Here is an 18248-nt window from a genome sequence, read left to right as displayed (position 1 = left end):
ATTCAGTGGGCGAAAGAGAGCCTCAGGCAGAATGCCACCACCCAAGGGATGGCCCAGAAAAGAGACACCCAGAAAGAAGACCGAGGAGGAGCAACCAAGGGCAGGAGGAAAGCCGGGGGGGCAGGTTGCCAAGGCCAAGGACAGAGGGAGTCTCTAGAAGCAAGCGGTGGTCAGCAGCATCCTGGGAAATAATGCTGGCTCCACATAAGCAACCAAACGTCCACACCCCTGGCCTTCCGCCACCCCCACCATCGAAAACCACACATGATCTAGAATTTAATATATGTTTATTTGTGTAGTAGGAACATTCAGGTATATAAATAAGGTAAATGCTTTCCAACGTACAGTATATCATGTTCTTACATTGCGTGGAAAAAGAACCTACATGTATTGTTCAACATGGATCACGAGTGCACAGAGAGAGAGATCAGCTGCATTTAGTGAAACGCCAAGTTGGGAAAATGGCACAGCAGTAGCGCACAGGCACACAGCTATCTGGGGAGGCTGTGGGGACTGTCACGTGGACTCTACACACCGAGAACTGCTTCAAGGTCGCCTGTGTCTGAGTGCGGGTAAAGTGAATATCAACACCCAGGCTATCAGGGTGAGACAACTGAATTCCATCATGTCCATCCACTTTACAAAGGGGTGGGAGGCACCATGGAGAAACTGACCAGAAATGCTCTGCCCTGTCACAGAGGAGACAGAGCCAGGGCAGACACGGCTGACCTCTGGGAGGCACAGACACTGGCAGTGATGGGTCCCATGGGATGCCTGGCACTCCCAGCACAGACAGCTCCCCAAAGCAGGTGGGGAGGCCCTTTCTGTGTTTGGGAACTTTTTAGTTAAACAAATCCTCAGAATCGAATTAAGAAGGATGTCCACAGCTCGATCAAAAAAAAAAAACCAAAAAAAAAAAAAAAACCACCAAGGTTCCCAAGATCCTTCAACAGAGGGGCTTCCCATCTGATCTTACCCTCCTGTTTCAGAAGGTATTAAACATCAATAAAAATTAAAATATATTATCAGTATCAACTCTAGAAGATAACCCATGGCTTCAAATCTCCCTGGACGGGTTCTCTGAGCCCAGATTTCTGGTCCCCAACTCGTATGACATCCAGGGCCAGCGAGCGTTCAGCTGGCATCTGTTAGAGTCTGCCCTCCACTGTGAGACTCCTGGCCCCTCCGTGGCCCTGGTATTCCTCCTGCTGCTGCCCCTAGGAGTCCTCCAGCTGGATAACAATAAACCAAACCGCTGTCTCCTAATCCCTGACTTGTTCTCCTGACTCCTAGTCCTTTGGTTTCATCGGCCCCTGATGTCTGTTCAACTCTTCCCCTTTGTAATCAGCCCCTAGCACCCAGTCAGCATGACGTAAGACAGAAAAACAGTTTACTAAAGGCCAGAGCCCTGTGCACAGAGGATTTAAAAGAAACAGCACCCAAAGGACACTCATGAAAACATGTATGCACATTCTGCCTGCTAGAAAACATTCTCAACCTCTTTTCTACTCTGCTGTTCCTTTAAGAAAAGCCAGCATACAAGAACCTAGCGCAGGTGTCAAAAAAAGGCATCCAAACTGCGAGGACAGAGGTGGCTATGTGGATGATTATCGGCAAACACAGTTTCACTAGAGACAAAATCACCAGGTGGCTAACCCTTCTGAGTGCTTTATGCAGGCAAGGTCCTCTGGGGGCTGCAAAAGGCTAGGCCCTGCCCAATGCCCGGGAGACCACTGCAAAGGCATTCTCTGCTTGATTTCCAGAGGGCCCTTACCACAACCCCCTCCCCGGCCCAGCAGTGGAGGCTTTCTATGGATACAAGGCTGCCTAGGTCTATTCAACAACACAATGAGGGAGGAAGCACCAGGCAAGGCAAACACAAACCCAGAAGGACAGGAGGGCTCGGGGGCAAGCCTGGGATTGGCCTGTCACAGCAGCTGCTTCCTAGAAACCCCCACAACCATCTTCTCCTGGTTCATGGCATTATCATTACTTCAGCAATTCAATGAAACAGAGGGACCATTATTTCCATACTATTAATAGCAATGTGCTGTTGGGTCCCACTAATACCCAGGAAATAATCCACAGTCAAACCAGTAGTTCAGTTATTATTCAACTGACCTAGGAATTTCATGGATCCTGTTAGCCAACACCATTCCTTCAAAGTGAGGCAGCCTCCCCTTACACACACGTGCCCCAACTCCCCACCCCCATTCAGAAAACTAAGTTCAAGAAACTCTTTTCATTAAGTCCTGTGCCTGTTCTCCCTTCATTCATGAGTCACCCATTTGAGTCTTTGCTAACCTAGAATCCGGCAGAAATACCTCACATCATGTGTCCTCAATGGGTCACCCACTTCTACCCGGTTACTACTTTTAGAAGGAAACATGAAGCTCCAGATTGGCTGCGTCATAAGGATGTGGGCAGAACTTCTAGGCTTTTAGTCTACATAATCCCCTACAAAGCAGGTTTCTGTTGTCCCCATTCTTCTCTTCTTGGCCCCTGAGGACATCCACCCATACAGGGAACTGCTGCAGGCTCCTGAGCTATGTGCACAGAAGACAGCCCTTGGCCAGAGCGGGAAGTGGGGTCCAGAGCGAGTCACAGACAGGCCCTCCCTGCCCAGAGTGGAGGTACCACCAGACAGGAGGAGATGGCCTTCCCACAAGCAGTCCAGACTGTGGGCAGAGGAGGTGAGCTGGATTCTCAGGCCAGCCATTCTCACTAAGAACAGAACTTCTGCACACCCCCATGTCCTCTTGCCTCGTTAGGGTGGCCTCCTAAATGGTGTGTGAAGCACCAAGATGCTGTAGGGGATGTTAAGGTTGGCGTGCTTCTCTCGGAGGGACCCAGACTGTGTGCAGGGTGGTGGCAGTGTGGTGGCTGACAATCCCATCTCTGGCATTGCACCAACGGAGGTCAAACTACCAGCTGAGCTCAACAAAAGTAACTACCATTTATTGAGTGCTTACTATGTGCCAGGCATGGTACTAAATGCTTACATGCATTACCTCGTTATATCCTCACAACCACCCCAGGAAGAAGGTACTATTATCAGACCCAACTGCCTTCAAGGTAGAAGCTTAGAGCAGCCTAGAAACCTGCCCGCACCTAGGGTGATTTGATCCCAAAGTCTGTCTTAACCACTGCTCTCGGCCTCAGTCATACTGCCTCAGTTTCCTCATCTATAAAATGGAGACAACAATACCTAATCAAAGGCTGTTTTCTGGATTAAAAGGGATAACGTATGTAAACCCTTAGCACTATGCCTGGCACATATTAAGCACTATACTATTGCAATCCTTATTAATAAACACACTGATATCTCATTGGCTCAAGAATAAAAAGAGAAGGCGCCTCAGTAGGTAGGCATTTGATGGGAAAAGGAAGGGGAGGGTGGGGGAGGAGACAGGGTCTTTAAACAGCCAACAAATTTGAAACCCACTGGACAAAAAACCCTAGACTTCACAAACTCTGCCCCTCTATTCTCATAAATCATCCGCATGTCCTCAAAATCCCAACACTTCAGCATCCAAAGGATACCTCCTAAACTGCACTCAAAGTGCGTTGGGAAACATGGTCCCTATACAAACAGGTGACAGCCTTAATCAAGAGACAGCCCCAGATGAGAACAGCCTCCATCCACCTGAGAGGCCAGGTAAGGCCACTGCTGGTCAACCTGAAAGGGAAGGGCGCATTCAGATGGCAACAGCAGCCAGGACTCTTCTGAGAATAGGGCCCACCTTCTGCAGGGATGTGGATAAGGAGAGTCCAGGCCCAAGAGAAGGTGGGCCAGGCAGAGCCCTGAGATAAGAATCCTTCGTGACCACTTGGTTTAAACCCTAGCACCCCATGCAGGTTGTGGCACAAGGCCCCCACCCAACAAGAGAAACTGAGTCAGGAAGTGAGAGCTGTTCATCTCTTTAAAAACTGGAAGCTGGGCAGCTGCGTGCAGGGTGATCAAGGGAAAAGGAAGTTTGTTTTGACCAAGTCAGGGAAGAATACGGGGCTCTGCCTGAGTATTAGCCATCATCTTCAGGCCAGAGTTTGTTCCACCTGCTCTTTGGAGTCCAGTGTTCCAAAGCACAAGTGAGAGTCCATCCGCGGCTTACTGTCTTGCAATGTGTCCATAAAAGTCACCTGGACATCCTCCCCACCCTGACCTCAGAAGAACAGAAACCTGTTCAAGTGAAATTGTCCTCCCAACTCCACCCTTTTCTTAGCACATAATCACAGTGTGCAAGAAAGGTGGGCCCAGATATGTTACTCTGGAAGACAAAAGACAATAGTGCCTAAGATATTACTAAAACAGGAAAAGGCTTCAGCAGTGACATACCACATTTAGTAGGGTGATGAAAATCTACCCCCTTGGACATGCAACTAGGACTGGCTTTGTAACTAACAAGACCCCTGCTTCACAGTTTTCTGAGCAAGGACACTCTGTCTCAAGTCACTTATACTCTCCCACTACCCGACTCTGTCAATAGTGGAGATGAACCTGAGCTTTGGGAAACATGGTCCCCATACAAACAGGTGACAAGGGCTGAGCCAAGGGCTCACTGACAGTGTGAAGATCTCAACTCAAAGATCCATTCAAATAAGGCTCCAGTCAACTCAGCAACTAGCTCAGACCAAATCACAAGGTCTGTGTAGTCTCCCTTAAAACATATTTTTGGGATTTTCTTGCATAATATAGGTCAAGTTACAGTGGAAAAAAATTCTATAAAAATGGATTCAAAGTCCACCTGTGTAAAGTCAAAAGTTGTATCCTCCCCAATGAAAGAGATTAGTTTCAAAGGATGTGAAACTAGTTCTCATACATTATAGGGCTGTACAATACTAAGAGTAATTACATTTTAAATGCAAAATACTGTAGCTACTAAAATGCCCAGAATATGAAACAAGTTGCCTAAGAGGGTTTCACTTTCAGGAGTAAAACATAAATGGAACCTTTCTGAATACTAAAAGCAGTTAAGAGGGCAGCATGCGCACACACAAAAGGCAAAGACTCGGTACCCTGTGAGCGGTCATGAGCAGAGCTCCCAGGGGCTGGGGGGTGCCCATCAGCCCTGGTTTCTATGACCCCCTTGTTCCACCAGGCAGGAGCCAACAGCAATTTAAGCTCCAACCTGGCTCAGGCCAGGCCTCCTGAGCTAGAGGGAAGGAAAGCTGCAACACCTCGGTGTACTCACACGACGTTCACAAAAGCAAGCAGGGCTGGGGGACCCTCCAGGTGTCCTGTGGGTAAAGTGCAGGATGGAGTGAGTCCTGACTCCACCACACTATCCTGGGGAAGCTCCCTGCCTGGTAAGGTGCTCATGACTCTCACCCGAGGTAAGAAGGCTGTTGTGAGAATGTAGGGATACAAGTTGGAAAGCAAAGCAAAAGTCTCTGAATCAGGACTATGCAGTATTCATGAATACATAAACAAATGAGAAGCATAAAACCATGCATGGAAGTGATAAACAGGGAATTCACGACAAGGGAGGGCACACAGTTGCAGTCACATTTTATTTCTGACCAATAAAAAAAAAATGGGTCTAAAGCAAGTGATGCCATTCATGAAGATTTGAATGTACACACGTAAAAATGGTTTCTTGAATCTTGTCTGTGAATAGGAAAGAGAAACATTGTGCTATATGGACACAAGGTGGCAGTGCTCTCCTAGCTACCTGACAAAAAATCCTCATCTCCAGAAAGCATGCAGGAGAAATCAGAAAATAAAACACAAGCTGACCCTCTGGCCTGCCTGCTAGCAGCTCTAGTGCGCACTCAGCTTCGGCTTCCTAGACCCCCCTTCCCCACCCCACCCCCACCAAGTAACCACTTCCACAAAGGAACATGATGAGCCTTGCCCAGTATGCTCGGCTCCCTGATCCCAAAGGCAGCCCTATTCAAGAGCAGGTCTCTGCAGCCAGGCCCCAGCTGAGACTCCCTCCTCTCAAGGAGCCCACCATATGCCCACAATGGGACAAAAGAGACAAATGAGGAGCCCTTTCGGTATCTAGTTTGGTGATCCAGGTTCATTCTTCAATCTGAAAACTACAGTTTCGTTATTGATCACCTTTACTGTTCGGGTGTGCTGCTGAGATACCTACTCACCTTAAGGATAAGCATGTAAGGGCCTGAAAACACTTCCTGTTTGGGGGGTGCCCAGGACCTCACTTAATGAGCCTCTACCGGCATGAACTTGCTCAGCCAGAATCACAGAAGAGTGGAATTGGGAGTAGCTCCGAAAAAGAGGCCCTGGAGAGTGATGCATCCTGCCAGTGACACAGCCAATACTGAAATGAAAGCCCTTGCGATAATATGTTTTGTTTTTAAGGGGCCTTGGACCTGAATAAGAGAAGCCACGAGGCTGAAATGGAAATAAAAGTTCAGCGGAAAGAAGCCGCTTCAGCCCCACACACATATGGGAAGTCACTCAAGGATGTGTGAGCTGAAACATCCCGAGGGCTCCATCCTCTGCTGGACACTCTAGAGACCTGGGCTGACTGTGCACTTTCAGGGAGGCAGTGAGGCTAATTTACAAACAAAAACACCACAAACCAGCACTAGACCAAGGTGCAGAAGCAAATCATTACACCCTCGTTGGCAATGAAAACATCCACGGCACGGAATAGTTTGATATATTTGGGTGCCAAGTTCTCTCTCCCGCACTCCATCACTTGTTGGCCTGACAAAGAACTAATCTGTCTTCCCAAAGTCAATCTCACCCCTGAAATTAGGGAGGGGAAAAAAAATCACAGTTTAAGCAAACAACAACAACGAAAGGTCCCCCAGTACAATACAAACTACATTTAAACTGGTCACATTATATAAAAAGTGTGCATTTAATCTTCAAAATAGTCAAGGCTCTAATCAGGTTAGGTTTTCCATAGTTTTAAGCAGGACTTTGTGGTTTTAGTGAAGAAGTCATGGTGCAATTGAAATCACTGTAAGAAATAAGTGACTTTTAAAACAAACACAGACACACACACTCCTCTTAAGAGTAATATATACACAACACAGCAGCTACATGGGTGTTCAGGCAAAGGGTGCATGAACGAGAAGCCCTCTGCTCCCTGCCCGATGAGAAAGTCCCCAGAAAGGATTCAGCAGCAGCAAGTCTACAGCACAAACATGGATGGCATTGTCCCTGAAAACACACAGTTAGGTGGACCTACAGGAGACATTGGAGCCTAGACATGTGGGAAAGGGCTCAGTTACAGTACATTCTACTGCATACACTTGAAATATTACAGTGTGTTTTTTCTCCAGACTATTATAAATAATTTTTCGTGCTTTCTGAAAAAAATAAAAACTGAAACTTTCAGTCTGCGATGAAGGTGAACCCATCTTATAAAGCAGAGCTTACTTACATTCTGCAGGATTTTGGTGTGGATGCATAGAAGGCTTACCTGGTTAGTAAGCCTCCATTCCTCCGACCTACAGAAGGCAACCCTTCTGCAGCTCCAAGCAGGGATTTCTAGAAAAGACCAGGTGTACAAAACATCTAAGCTGTGCCTCCCACCACAGGTGGGGAAGTCCCCTGATTTGGTCAGACACAGATGAATGTCTGTGTCTGACTGAGCCCAGAAACAGTTCAATTGATGGGGGCTGGAACCACCAAGAAAACACTCCTGACCTGGGCAACACTGTCTTCCAGATTATTAATACTTTTGTTTTAAAAAAATCCAAATGGTTTTACAACCCGTGACTTCTTTCCAACTCAAAGCTGTAGTTTACTTACAACACAAATTCTAAACACATAGACTGTATATACAGATTTTTTGAACCCACAAATAAAAAATACCCTCCAAAAAAAAAAAAAAAAGACAGTGAGTTGAAGCCTCGTCATTGTCTAAGTCACACCAGCTGGGCTTGCCTTGGAGACCTGCCCCTGCTCAGTTCTGTTCCTGTTCTCCTGGCCCTGGGTGGCCCCTACTCGTCCTCTGTGGTGGATGTCAGCATCCCTTTGTCGATCAGATGAGACCGCAGCGTGTTGAAGATGTGGAGCTGCTGATCTGGCCGTAAAGTCAGGAACTGCTGAATCAGTTTGCTTGGGTTAGGGCCTCTGGAACAGAATGTGAAGAAACAGCACTGAGCTAGGGCCCGGAAGCTTCCAGGGCCTGATTATCTGAGTGGCTGCTCTGATCTCTGGATCAGAGAGTTATCTATTAACAGATGACAGGAGGCCTCAGAAAATCTGTAAGCAGAAACAACTGAAAACTGCATTATTTGGGATGCTTTTCACTGGAACTTAGATGCCGCTAAAATTCTAGAATTGCACCGTACTTAAAAATCCACCAACTTGGTTCAGATGGAAAGGTACTATACCTGATAAAACTGGCGATGTATACATTGACAAAGGTGGCCATCAGATACTGGCAGTCAAAGCGATCCATGATGCCTCCATGGCCAGGAATGGTATTGGCAAAGTCCTGTTAGAGGCAGGGGAAGGATGGGTGAACTTGGGCTCAGCCACTAACCAATCCCAGCCTAATGGTCCCACCCCAATGTCAGGCTTCTGTGCTGAGTAGCTGAGGGCAATAGAAGGTGAGAAGTATGAAATCTAATGGTGAGGCTATATTAGGACACAATTTTATTGCATTACAAAATGTTCTTATTTCATTTACTTAATAAAGACAGGAGTCTTGCTATGTTGCTCAGGCTACTTTCTAACTCCTAGCCTCAAGTGATCCTCCCGCCTTGGCCTCTTAAAGTGCTGGGGTTACAGACATGAGCCACTGCCTGGCCCAAAATGTTCTTTTGAAGAAAGATATATTAACAAATAAACTGAAAAACAACGATTGCATTTTCCTGAAAATATTGTTATTAATTAACTCACCTAAATTCAGTGCATGGGTCAAGATCACACATTAAATGCCAGGGTGTACAGCCTAGTATTTTGGAGGGGGCAGGGAAGGGGGAGAAAGGCAGAAGATGGGTGAGGGAGTGAGATGAGAGGAACGTAAGACGGTTTTCCTACTTTGATTTTAAAGGCTCGTTTGAATCCACTTGCGAAGAATCCTCCAAAGGGGCCAATGAGCGAGGCAAAGGTGGAGAGAGCGATGCTGTGAATCTGGAAGGGGTACATCCGGACCGTTTTCTGAGAAGAGTAAATGAAGTAAAAGTTTAGGTGCATACATGCCCAGTGTTACGGTTTGAGTTGTCAACTCATGTTGAAATTTGATCCTCATTGTGGCCTCACTGGGAGGTGATGCCTAGTGGGAGGTGTTTGGGTCACAGGGGCAAATCCCTCATGAATGGCTTGGTGCCTTTCTCCTAGTAGTGAGTTCTGTCAAGAGACTAGATTAGCACTGGCATCCCGAGGGAATGGGTTGTTATGAAGTGATGAAGCCCCTGGTTTTGCCTCTTTGCATGTGTCTGCTTCCACCTTTGACCTTCTCCGCCATGTTACAATGCAGCATAAAAAGCCCTCACCAGAAGCCAGGCAGCAGCCAATGCCACACTTCTCACACTTCTCAGCCTGCAGAAAGAAGCTAAGTAAACCTCTTTTCTTTGTAAATTACCCAGCCCCAAGTGTTCTATCAACACTAGACAGACCAAGACATCCAACCTCGTAACTCTTTATGAAACTAATTATATACATGTAGGTTTTAAATCAATAAGAGGAGTGAATTTTTCCCATTTTGTAAATTTCTAATATCTAAGTTAATGGAAAACATTAAAATATTCTGCATTCAATCTGTTGCAACATGCTGTTTTGGTGGAAGTATATAAAGAAAATCCAGCCGTACGCAGATACATAGTTGAAAAGAGTATTTTAGTCGTAGCCTCAGATGGTTTTGGGTATTCTCTGACACTACACCAGAGCTTGACAAGTAGTCATTTCTTGAATATTAGGTGTGATATGGAATCTAGAATTCTATCAATGGACTTTGTTCTCTCTTACATTAAAATCCATTGGTCTATCTTATACTTGAACGGATCTTTTACCCATGCATGACTATATAACACCATGCATCAGCCATTTAGAAAATAATGGTTCACTGAGTTATGTAAATCTTCCAAATGTAGACACATTTCATTATACCGTGTCAAATATGTTTGTGTTTTTTCTCATGTGATCAACACACACACACACACACACACACACGTACGTTAAGAATCATCACAGACCTCATCAGAAAAGGCTTTTAAGTATTAGGAAGCTGTCAAGTTCACAGTGGCAGGTTAAGCTTTCCAAAATTCTAATTTTCATTTGAAAGCCAAATTTTATCCTTGGTAACAATTACTGTCAGTCATTTTTCTTTTCTTTTTTTTTTTTTTTTTGAGACAGTCTCACTCTGTCACCCAGGCTGGAGTGCAGTGGTGCGATCTTGGCTCACTGCATCCTCCGCCTCCTGGGTTCAAGCAACTCAACCTCCTGAGTAGCTGGTAGCTGGGATTACAGGCACACGCCACCATCCCCAGCTATATTTTTTTGTATTTTTAGTAAAGACGGGGTTTCGCCATGTTACCCAGGCTGGTCTGGAACTCCTGACCTCAAGAGATCTGCCTGCCTCGGCCTTCCAAAGTGCTGGGATTTCAGGTGTGAGCCACTGTGCCTAGCCTCAGTTGTTTTCTTTAAAGTGATAGGCTCACTTCATCCTTTTCAAGAAAAATGTCTGCCAAATACCCAAGTCTGAAAAATTATAATTTGTTGGTTCTTTCCAAGTAAAATTTACTTTCTTTTCTAAAAAAAAAGCAGCTAATTTAGCTCACAACTCAAACAACTGCACACATGCTTTCCCTTTAGGCAAGCACTGTACTACAGTACTTAGCAGAAATGTTTTACACATACTTTCCATTTCAGTAGAGAGTGTTAAAAAGGTGTGTGTACAAAGGTCAAGATTTAACAAAATTAGTAACTTTACTATTTCATAGACATTCATTAGAACTGGCCTGTTTGTACTGTGAGTGTGTGGCATGAGGAACCCACTGCCTTAACGCAGTTTTAACCACTGCTGCTTTTGCGCCGTATCACAGCAAATGTCAACACATTGAAAAAGGAAAATAATGTCATAGTCTAATTATGAAACAGTTGTGACCTCACAGACCCCCCCACCCTACCCCCGCAACTAAAAGGATCCCAGGGCCCTCCAGGGATCCACAGAACACACTTTGAAAACCACTGGTCTAAACAATCTGATGTTGGGGGAAAGCTGTCCTGCCCATACCCTGACCTGGCGTGAGCAATTCTCCTTCATCCTGGGGCTTACAGCTTTGGGAAGGAGGAAGCTAGCTTTTTTCAGAGGGCAGGTGATGGAGGGGGATCTCTCTTTGTAGCCACTGTCCATGGAGGCCGCTCACCCCCTGTGAGTGGCACATACCCAGCCAATGACTGACTGGATCACCCCAGGAATGTTGTACTCCTGCAGGCGAAACAGGTCCGAGGGCTCACAGTCCACAGTGAAGCTGTTGGTGTCATTGTTGTACTCCACAGGGCAGACAAAGCATCTGTACCCGGACATCACATAGGACAGCTGAGGAGGAATAACAGAGAGACCGGCAAGGAAGTAAGTTCCAACCATCCAGCCCAGACACAGGCACCTGGTTTGGCCATGTTCCTGAGGGTGCCTAGTACCCTGCTAACTGCGAGCTATGTGCTCAGAGGTTCATGTTTTACCATACATATTTTACCTCAATTAAAAAAAAAAAAAGAGGCTCATGACCCACCAAGGTTACATACAGGAACCCAAACACCCAGGCCCCGAAAGAATCCGGGAAAACCTGAAGGGACTGGGGCAAAGAACTACAAGAAGACTCTCCCCATTTGGGGAGCTAGGACCACTTTCCTCAAGATCTCTGAAGTCAGTGATAACTGGAGAGAGGCCATGGGGAAGGGGCACAGTGAGAGGCAGATCTCAGGAGGAACAAGGCTGGAAAGCAACAAAGCTGGGCGGTGAGCACTGAAGGGCAGCCAGACAGTGCTGAAGAAGGAGGACTGGCCCAAGGGTCAGAAGCAGAGAATGGTGCTCTGGAAAGGGCAGGAAAATCACCCACCTCTGGGCAAGGCACACATAGGAGAAAAGCTGTGTATCTCATCTTCCCTTGGGTGCACTCACCCTGACCTTGGAACATCAAATGCCTGACAAGAAGGCTACCTGCTGATGTCACCATGCCTGGGCGCGAGAGGGCATAGAAGGTGCTCTCCAACTGCTAGCACCCTGCCTGAAAGCTGGTGGATGGCTGGCATGGCCAGTGGCCCTCTTCAGGGCAAGGTTGCCATTCAGCAGGACAGTCCTGGCCTCCAAAGACACTCTCCAGCTCTGGACAGGCCTTGGAAGGTGGTATGAGGCCTCTGTCCACCCAATCCCTTACACAGCTGAAAGCCACCACCTACCAGAAGGCCAAACACCACAGTAGCAAAGAAGCCCCCAATGAAGCCTTCCCAGGTCTTCTTCGGGGACAGCTGTGGACAGAGAGCAAGTTCTCAGCAAAGGGTGTTTTGATAACTATAGCTTTGCGAACAATGATTACTTGTTAAGAACCTTTCTTTCATAAAACCCCATTCTCTTAACCATGTCACCTTTTAAAGCTCCCCCAAATATGGTTTCCTTGTTCCCTATCTTATATCCTCCTCCCTTTGGTTCCCTTTCTGTTTCAATCAGTCATTCGAATAGTTTTATATTAGAAAACGATATACTAATTAAGTGACTACACTCAAATCCAGATCAAAGTCCCAAAAAATGTGTCCCCAAAAAAGATTATATAAATCTGTAAAAATATTTTCCTTTCTTTTTTCAAGACACGATCTTGCCCCATCACCCAGGCTGGAGTATAGTGGCACTATCACAGCTCCTTGAAGCCTCAACCTCCTGGGCTCAAGAGATCCTCCCATCTCAGCCTCCCAAGGAGCTGGGACTACAGGTGCATGCTACCACCATGCCTGGCTAATTTTTAAATGTTTTAGTAAAGGCAAGGCCTCACTAAGTTCCCCAGGCTGCTTTTGAACACCTGGCCTCAAGCAATCCTCCTGCCTCAGCATCCCATAGTGCTAGGATTACAGGCATGACCCACCACGCCCAGCCTATTTTCTTTATTATCTTTTTTTTTTTTTAATCAGTTGTCAGTGTTTTCCTTTGGCCTTTCTCCAGGAAGACATGAAGACATGGCCACAATACAACACAGCTAGATTTCTTCTGTCTGCCAGGCTGATCTACTCACATTGAGAGCACCACCCTCCCCTCACAGTGGTATTTCACATTAGGGTAATCCATTTACCTTGATGAGTGGGGTCCGACCAAAGAAAAAGCCAAACATATAGGCCATGATGTCATTACAGATCACACAAGATATGGGGACAATGAACCTAGAAATGAACCAAAGTAAGGATCAACTCAAGCAAGGTGACAGTACCTCAAAAGTACACAAAATAGTGCCATTCTTAAATTCCAGCACCAAAATCACCCATAAAATTCTGGTAACCCATTAAGGAGTAAGTTAAAAACATAAAAAATACCAAAAAAGTCATACCTAGTACCTAGCACAGAGTACATATTCAAGTGTTTACTGAATGACTACTGAATAAGTGGAGGTTGCAAACTAAAAGGTCATCTGTCCTTTTTTCATGATAAAGAAATATACGTAAACAATGAGAGAAATTTAATTGTAAAAGGAACAAAAAGTTTTCCTTCTTTCTCCCATCCCTATCTCCATTCCCAAAAATAACCACTTCTAATCGTTTCTAATTTTTATTTTTCTAGTGGTTACCTCCCCAATTCTAAATAGTATGCTTTAATGACTCTTTCATTATTTACTGACTTTTCTTGCTGTTTATTACTAGCTCTAGTTGGCCCTATCTTTCCCCAGGACTGTATTTGAGTGTGAAACCCCAACACGCACAGCTAGATTTCCCCTCTGCCCACTCCCCTGCTGATCCAGTCATCCTCACTATGAAAGAGGTGGTTTCCACACTTGTTCTCTCTCTCCTCACCCTCCACTCCCTGACACTGACACTTTTTAAAAAGTTCTTTGATTACAGGTTTGTTTGTTTGTTTCTGTTTTTGTTTTTGAGACAGAGTCTCTGTTGCCCAGGCTGGAGTGCAGTGACACAATCTCGGCTCACTGCAACCTCCACCCCCAGGTTAAGTGATTCTCCTGCCTCAGCCTCCGGAATAGCTAGGATTACAGGCACCTGCCACGCCACCACACCAGCTATTTTTTTGTATTTTTAGTAGAGACGGGGATTTCACTATGTTGCCCAGGCCGGTCTTCAACTCCTGACCTCGTGATCCGCCTACCTTGGCCTCCAAAAGTGTTGGGTTACAGGCGTGAGCCACCGCGCCCGCCCTTTAACCTTTTCACTAAGATCACCTAGCTGCTTCAGTTGGCCAGTGATTTCTATCAATGCTGATACATGAAACCACTGCATTTTTGGAATAAAATCCACTCGGTATTTGCATATTATTCCCTTGACACACTGCCAGATTCTATTTGCTAGTATTTTATTTAGAATGATTTATCTATAATCGTAGCAGAAATGGGTTTATCATTCCTGCTTCTCTCTCCTCATTGGCTTTGGTATAAAGGTTAGATAAAACTCAGCTGTTAACCCATTTGGTCCTGTTTCTCTTTCCAGATATGGAATCTTACATAATTTTCAAAGCTCATTTACAGTTACTGATCTATTCACGTTTTCTTCTTCATGACTTTTAGTATATATTTTGTCAGGAAATCATGAATATTTCCTCTAGGTTTTCAAATCTGTTGCCATACATGTTGCATTGTCTTTGAGTCTTTAAATATTCCTGTACCTATTAGTCTAGAACAGTGGTTCTCAGAGCATAGGTCCTGTCCAGCAATATAAGCACCACCCAGGAATGTACTAGAAATTCAAATTCTCAAGCCTACCCCAGATCTAATGAATCAAAAAGTCAGGGGTGGGGTCCAGCAATCTGTGCTATAATGAACCCTGCAGAGGATTCTGATGTGGCTCAAGGTGAGGGCCACTGGCTTAGAGGGGGGTATCTGTACACGAGAAACACTCACAAAATAAAAGGGAAAATCCAACTCCCAATTCTCACCAGATCATTCCTTCAAATAGGTTGTGGATAACAAGATGTGACTGTGTTACAACAATCAGCAATGTCACATGGGTCCAGCCAAACTGCAAAAAAAAGAAAAATAAACACTACTTACCAGTTTACCTTGAAAGTAACTTCAAAGAACAATCAATACCAAATAGAAAACTGCTGAGAAGCAGGTAGGAAAAATATCTGCTTTTGTATCTGACTTATTGAAAGTGAACAGGTAAGATCAGGCTTCTGAGAGTAATACTTTGTCCCCCACAGCCCACTAGTGAGTGAGCTCTCCCATGCTCTGAAAGCCTGGGTATTTTTCATTTTCTTAGTAGTTATTGAGCACCTGGAGCACTCAGAGAGGAGCTGTTCTCTAGTGAGTCAGGGAATAAGTGGTAGCAAGTGATGTACCAGACAGGACATCTGTGGGCAGTGTCTGAAGCTTCAGCTTGTGCCTTCTCTGGAGCCCACCTCAGGGTCCTAGTGGAGAGGCTGCTTAAGGTGTAAGTAACAGTGACTGGGTCTAAGTCAACGTAGAGCCATTAAACCTAAATGGGCATTCTTCCTTCATGCTCTAGATGCATACATATCAGACCATGTTCCTGAGTTTTGATTTGTCACAGAAAGCATGAAAGGCTTGTTGAGTTCCTGAAAAACTTCATTTAAATCAAGAATTCTGACACACACGCATGCATTTCCTTTACCATGTAGAACTGCAGTCGATAATGCTTCTTGACCAGACTCAGTACAAACATGCAGAATCCTAGTTTGAGGTGGGAGGAGAAAAGAAAAATGAATTATGTTCTGCATTTATCTTTGCCCTCCTTTAGCTATGTTAAGTGGTTCTTTGGCTAATTTATTCCCAGCAGCTAACCAGTGCACAATGTCAAAGCCCAGGGGAGAAAAACATTACCCAGATAAACAGTCACAAGGAAAAAATAACTCCTCCCAAACAGTAAAAGGAAGGCAATATTTTATAATCATGCAGACCACACTAAACTTAGAACATGGTTCATCAGATAGGAATGTTTTATTCCTAGAACATGGGCCAGCAAACAGTGGTCAGGCCAGCTGCTTGTTTTTATAAATAAAGTTTTATTCAAACACAGTTATGTCCATTTGTTTACATATTGTCTATGGCTGCTTTCAAGCTACAACTCAGCAGAACTGAGTACAGTCATGCTCTGAACAACGAGGTTCTCGTCAACAACACACCACATACACAACAACAGTTCCCTAAGGTTATAATACCCATAGATTATAATACCATAAGATTTACTAATTACCATATAGTACCTTTTCTATGTTTAGATACACAAATACTTACCATTGTGTTATAATTGCCTACAGTATTTATTTAGTAAGGTAACATGCTGTACAGGTTTGTACTCTAAGAGAAATAGACTACACATTATAGCCTAGGTGTGTAGGAGGCTATACCATCTAGGTCTGCATAAGTACACTCTACAATGTTTGCACAATGACAAAATGACAACAATGCATTTCCGAGAACATAGCCCATGGTTAAACGATGCATGACTGTAACTGCAAGAGACCCTATGGTCCCCAAAGCCTAAAATATTTACTGTTTGGAACTTTAATAAAAAGTTTGCTGCCTGTTGTGCCTACAGAGTAGCAATTCTTTTATTCCTTTACTTTCTTAATAGACTTGCTTTCACTTTCCTCCACAGACTCGCCCCAAACTCCTTCTTGTATGAGATCCAATAACACTCTCTTGGGGTCCGGGTCTGGACCCCTTTCTGGTAACATCTTTCTGGTGAACCCCAAAGGGACAATACTGAGGAGACCCCCAACCCAAAGGAAATAGACTGCAGCACTGATTGGCTGACTTTGGTTTTTTTCTGCAATTTAGACTGCTTGTTCCTGTGAACCAACCAGTGATCTCTGGCTGCAGCTCAGAAGAAACAAGAGGGATTGGTGATGTAAAAATCTGAATCAGTATTCTAATTCTGGGAACATATTGCAATCAGCTACCGACCCCGTATCAGCTTGGTTCCAACAATTACCCAGTTCATGGAAAGCCTTCTTTAGTTTACTTGGGATAGTTTTGCTTATTTTGCTTTACTGATATGGAATAGTTGTACTATTTGTGTAGGAATGCAGGATAAGCTTACTCAATGTTCTCTTAAACACTTACAAAATCTTCCAGATATCACTTTGTGTCCGAGCTGTGAATAGCCCTAACCATACTGACACTTTCTGACTGAGCTCCTCTCTACCCTGAATACAAGAGACCTCGATAGGTAGGCAGGAATATCATTGCCCCTAATCAGCCTGAAGAAGTTACAGAGGATGGATCTTCGTCCCTCTGCAACCCTTAGGATTAAGGGTTCTCTTATAAAAGTGATGGGGGAAATGTCAGAGGCATTTGAGCTAGAGCAACTCCATCCTGAATAGGAGCTGGGTAAAATGAGGCTGAGATCTACAGGGTCTGCATTCCCAGACGGTTAGGTATTCTAAGTCACAGGATGAGATAGGAGGTCACACAAGATACAGGTCATAAAGACCTTGCTGAGAAAACAACTGCAGTAAAGAAGCTGGCCAAACCCCTCCAAAATCAAGATAGCAATGAGAATGACCTCTGCTTGTCCTAATTGCTACACTCCAATCAGTGACATGGCAGTTTACAAATGCCATGGCAACATCAGGAAATTACCCTATATGATCTAAAAAAAGGAAACATGAATAATCCACCCTTTGTTTAGCATATAATCAAGAAATAACCATAAAAATGGGCAACCAGCAGCCCTCGGGGCTGCTCTAAGGGCCATTCTTTTATTCCTTTACTTTCTTAATAAACTTGCTTCCCCTTAAAAAAAAAAAAAAAGTTTGCCAATACCTGTCCTAGTATTCATAGGGCTGGGAGAAGAGGGATCCACATGGTATAGGGTCAAGACCACCTTTTTATCTCTCTCACAGTGACCTAGATGGTAGCACAACATGTCCGCAGACCCCTTCTCCAGGAAGGAAAGGAACCTTTATCCATAAACATGCGGAGATCCTCAAAAGCAGTTCTGCCCAGAAATAAGCATGTCGCTTTTCCAGACCCCTTACCTCCCACTGTGGAAGGCTGCTTTCGGGGTCTGCAGCATACTCTCTGAATATCCTCAATGGCAGCAGACCCCTTTGCAGATTTTATATTTTAATAGTCAGGTGTCATTCACAGAAGTATTGCTATCAAGCTGATCAAAAATAGGTCAGATTGACATTGAGGTCAGA

The 18248-nt window shown here is 44.9% G+C and overlaps 1 protein-coding gene across 2 annotated transcripts in view, besides 3 other annotated features; it reads right to left on the bottom strand.

The window, feature by feature from the left end:
* Window positions 1-270: 270 nt before the first annotated feature.
* Window positions 271-18248, bottom strand: part of CDS2 (CDP-diacylglycerol synthase 2) — a 70880-nt gene continuing 52902 nt past the window's right edge. The window contains exons 6-13 of one of the 2 annotated variants that reach the window (NM_003818.4): window positions 15713-15771; window positions 15015-15097; window positions 13213-13300; window positions 12332-12400; window positions 11319-11471; window positions 8972-9091; window positions 8320-8423; window positions 271-8056 (exon numbers count right to left, since the gene is read on the bottom strand). In NM_003818.4, coding sequence (NP_003809.1) covers window positions 7924-8056; window positions 8320-8423; window positions 8972-9091; window positions 11319-11471; window positions 12332-12400; window positions 13213-13300; window positions 15015-15097; window positions 15713-15771 — 809 coding nt within the window. In that variant the 3' untranslated portion in view covers window positions 271-7923. Of the gene's footprint in view, window positions 8057-8319; window positions 8424-8971; window positions 9092-11298; window positions 11472-12331; window positions 12401-13212; window positions 13301-15014; window positions 15098-15712; window positions 15772-18248 lie in introns of those variants that run through there. The other variant, XM_006723660.3, reaches the window with a different exon arrangement.
* Window positions 5058-5107: an enhancer, noted in NCBI's record as "active region_17517". NCBI's record gives its function as "activates an Ori minimal core promoter by ATAC-STARR-seq in GM12878 lymphoblastoid cells {active_cell/tissue: GM12878}" and the evidence as "EXISTENCE:reporter gene assay evidence [ECO:0000049][PMID:35858748]".
* Window positions 5881-5970: an enhancer, noted in NCBI's record as "active region_17516". NCBI's record gives its function as "activates an Ori minimal core promoter by ATAC-STARR-seq in GM12878 lymphoblastoid cells {active_cell/tissue: GM12878}" and the evidence as "EXISTENCE:reporter gene assay evidence [ECO:0000049][PMID:35858748]".
* Window positions 7539-7608: a silencer, noted in NCBI's record as "silent region_12655". NCBI's record gives its function as "represses an Ori minimal core promoter by ATAC-STARR-seq in GM12878 lymphoblastoid cells {active_cell/tissue: GM12878}" and the evidence as "EXISTENCE:reporter gene assay evidence [ECO:0000049][PMID:35858748]".

The sequence above is a fragment of the Homo sapiens genome, chromosome 20, assembly GCF_000001405.40.
Source record: "Homo sapiens chromosome 20, GRCh38.p14 Primary Assembly".
NCBI classification, from domain to species: Eukaryota; Metazoa; Chordata; class Mammalia; order Primates; family Hominidae; genus Homo; species Homo sapiens.
Note: the sequence above shows the minus strand (reverse complement) of the source record. Positions and strands in the feature narration are given on the sequence as shown.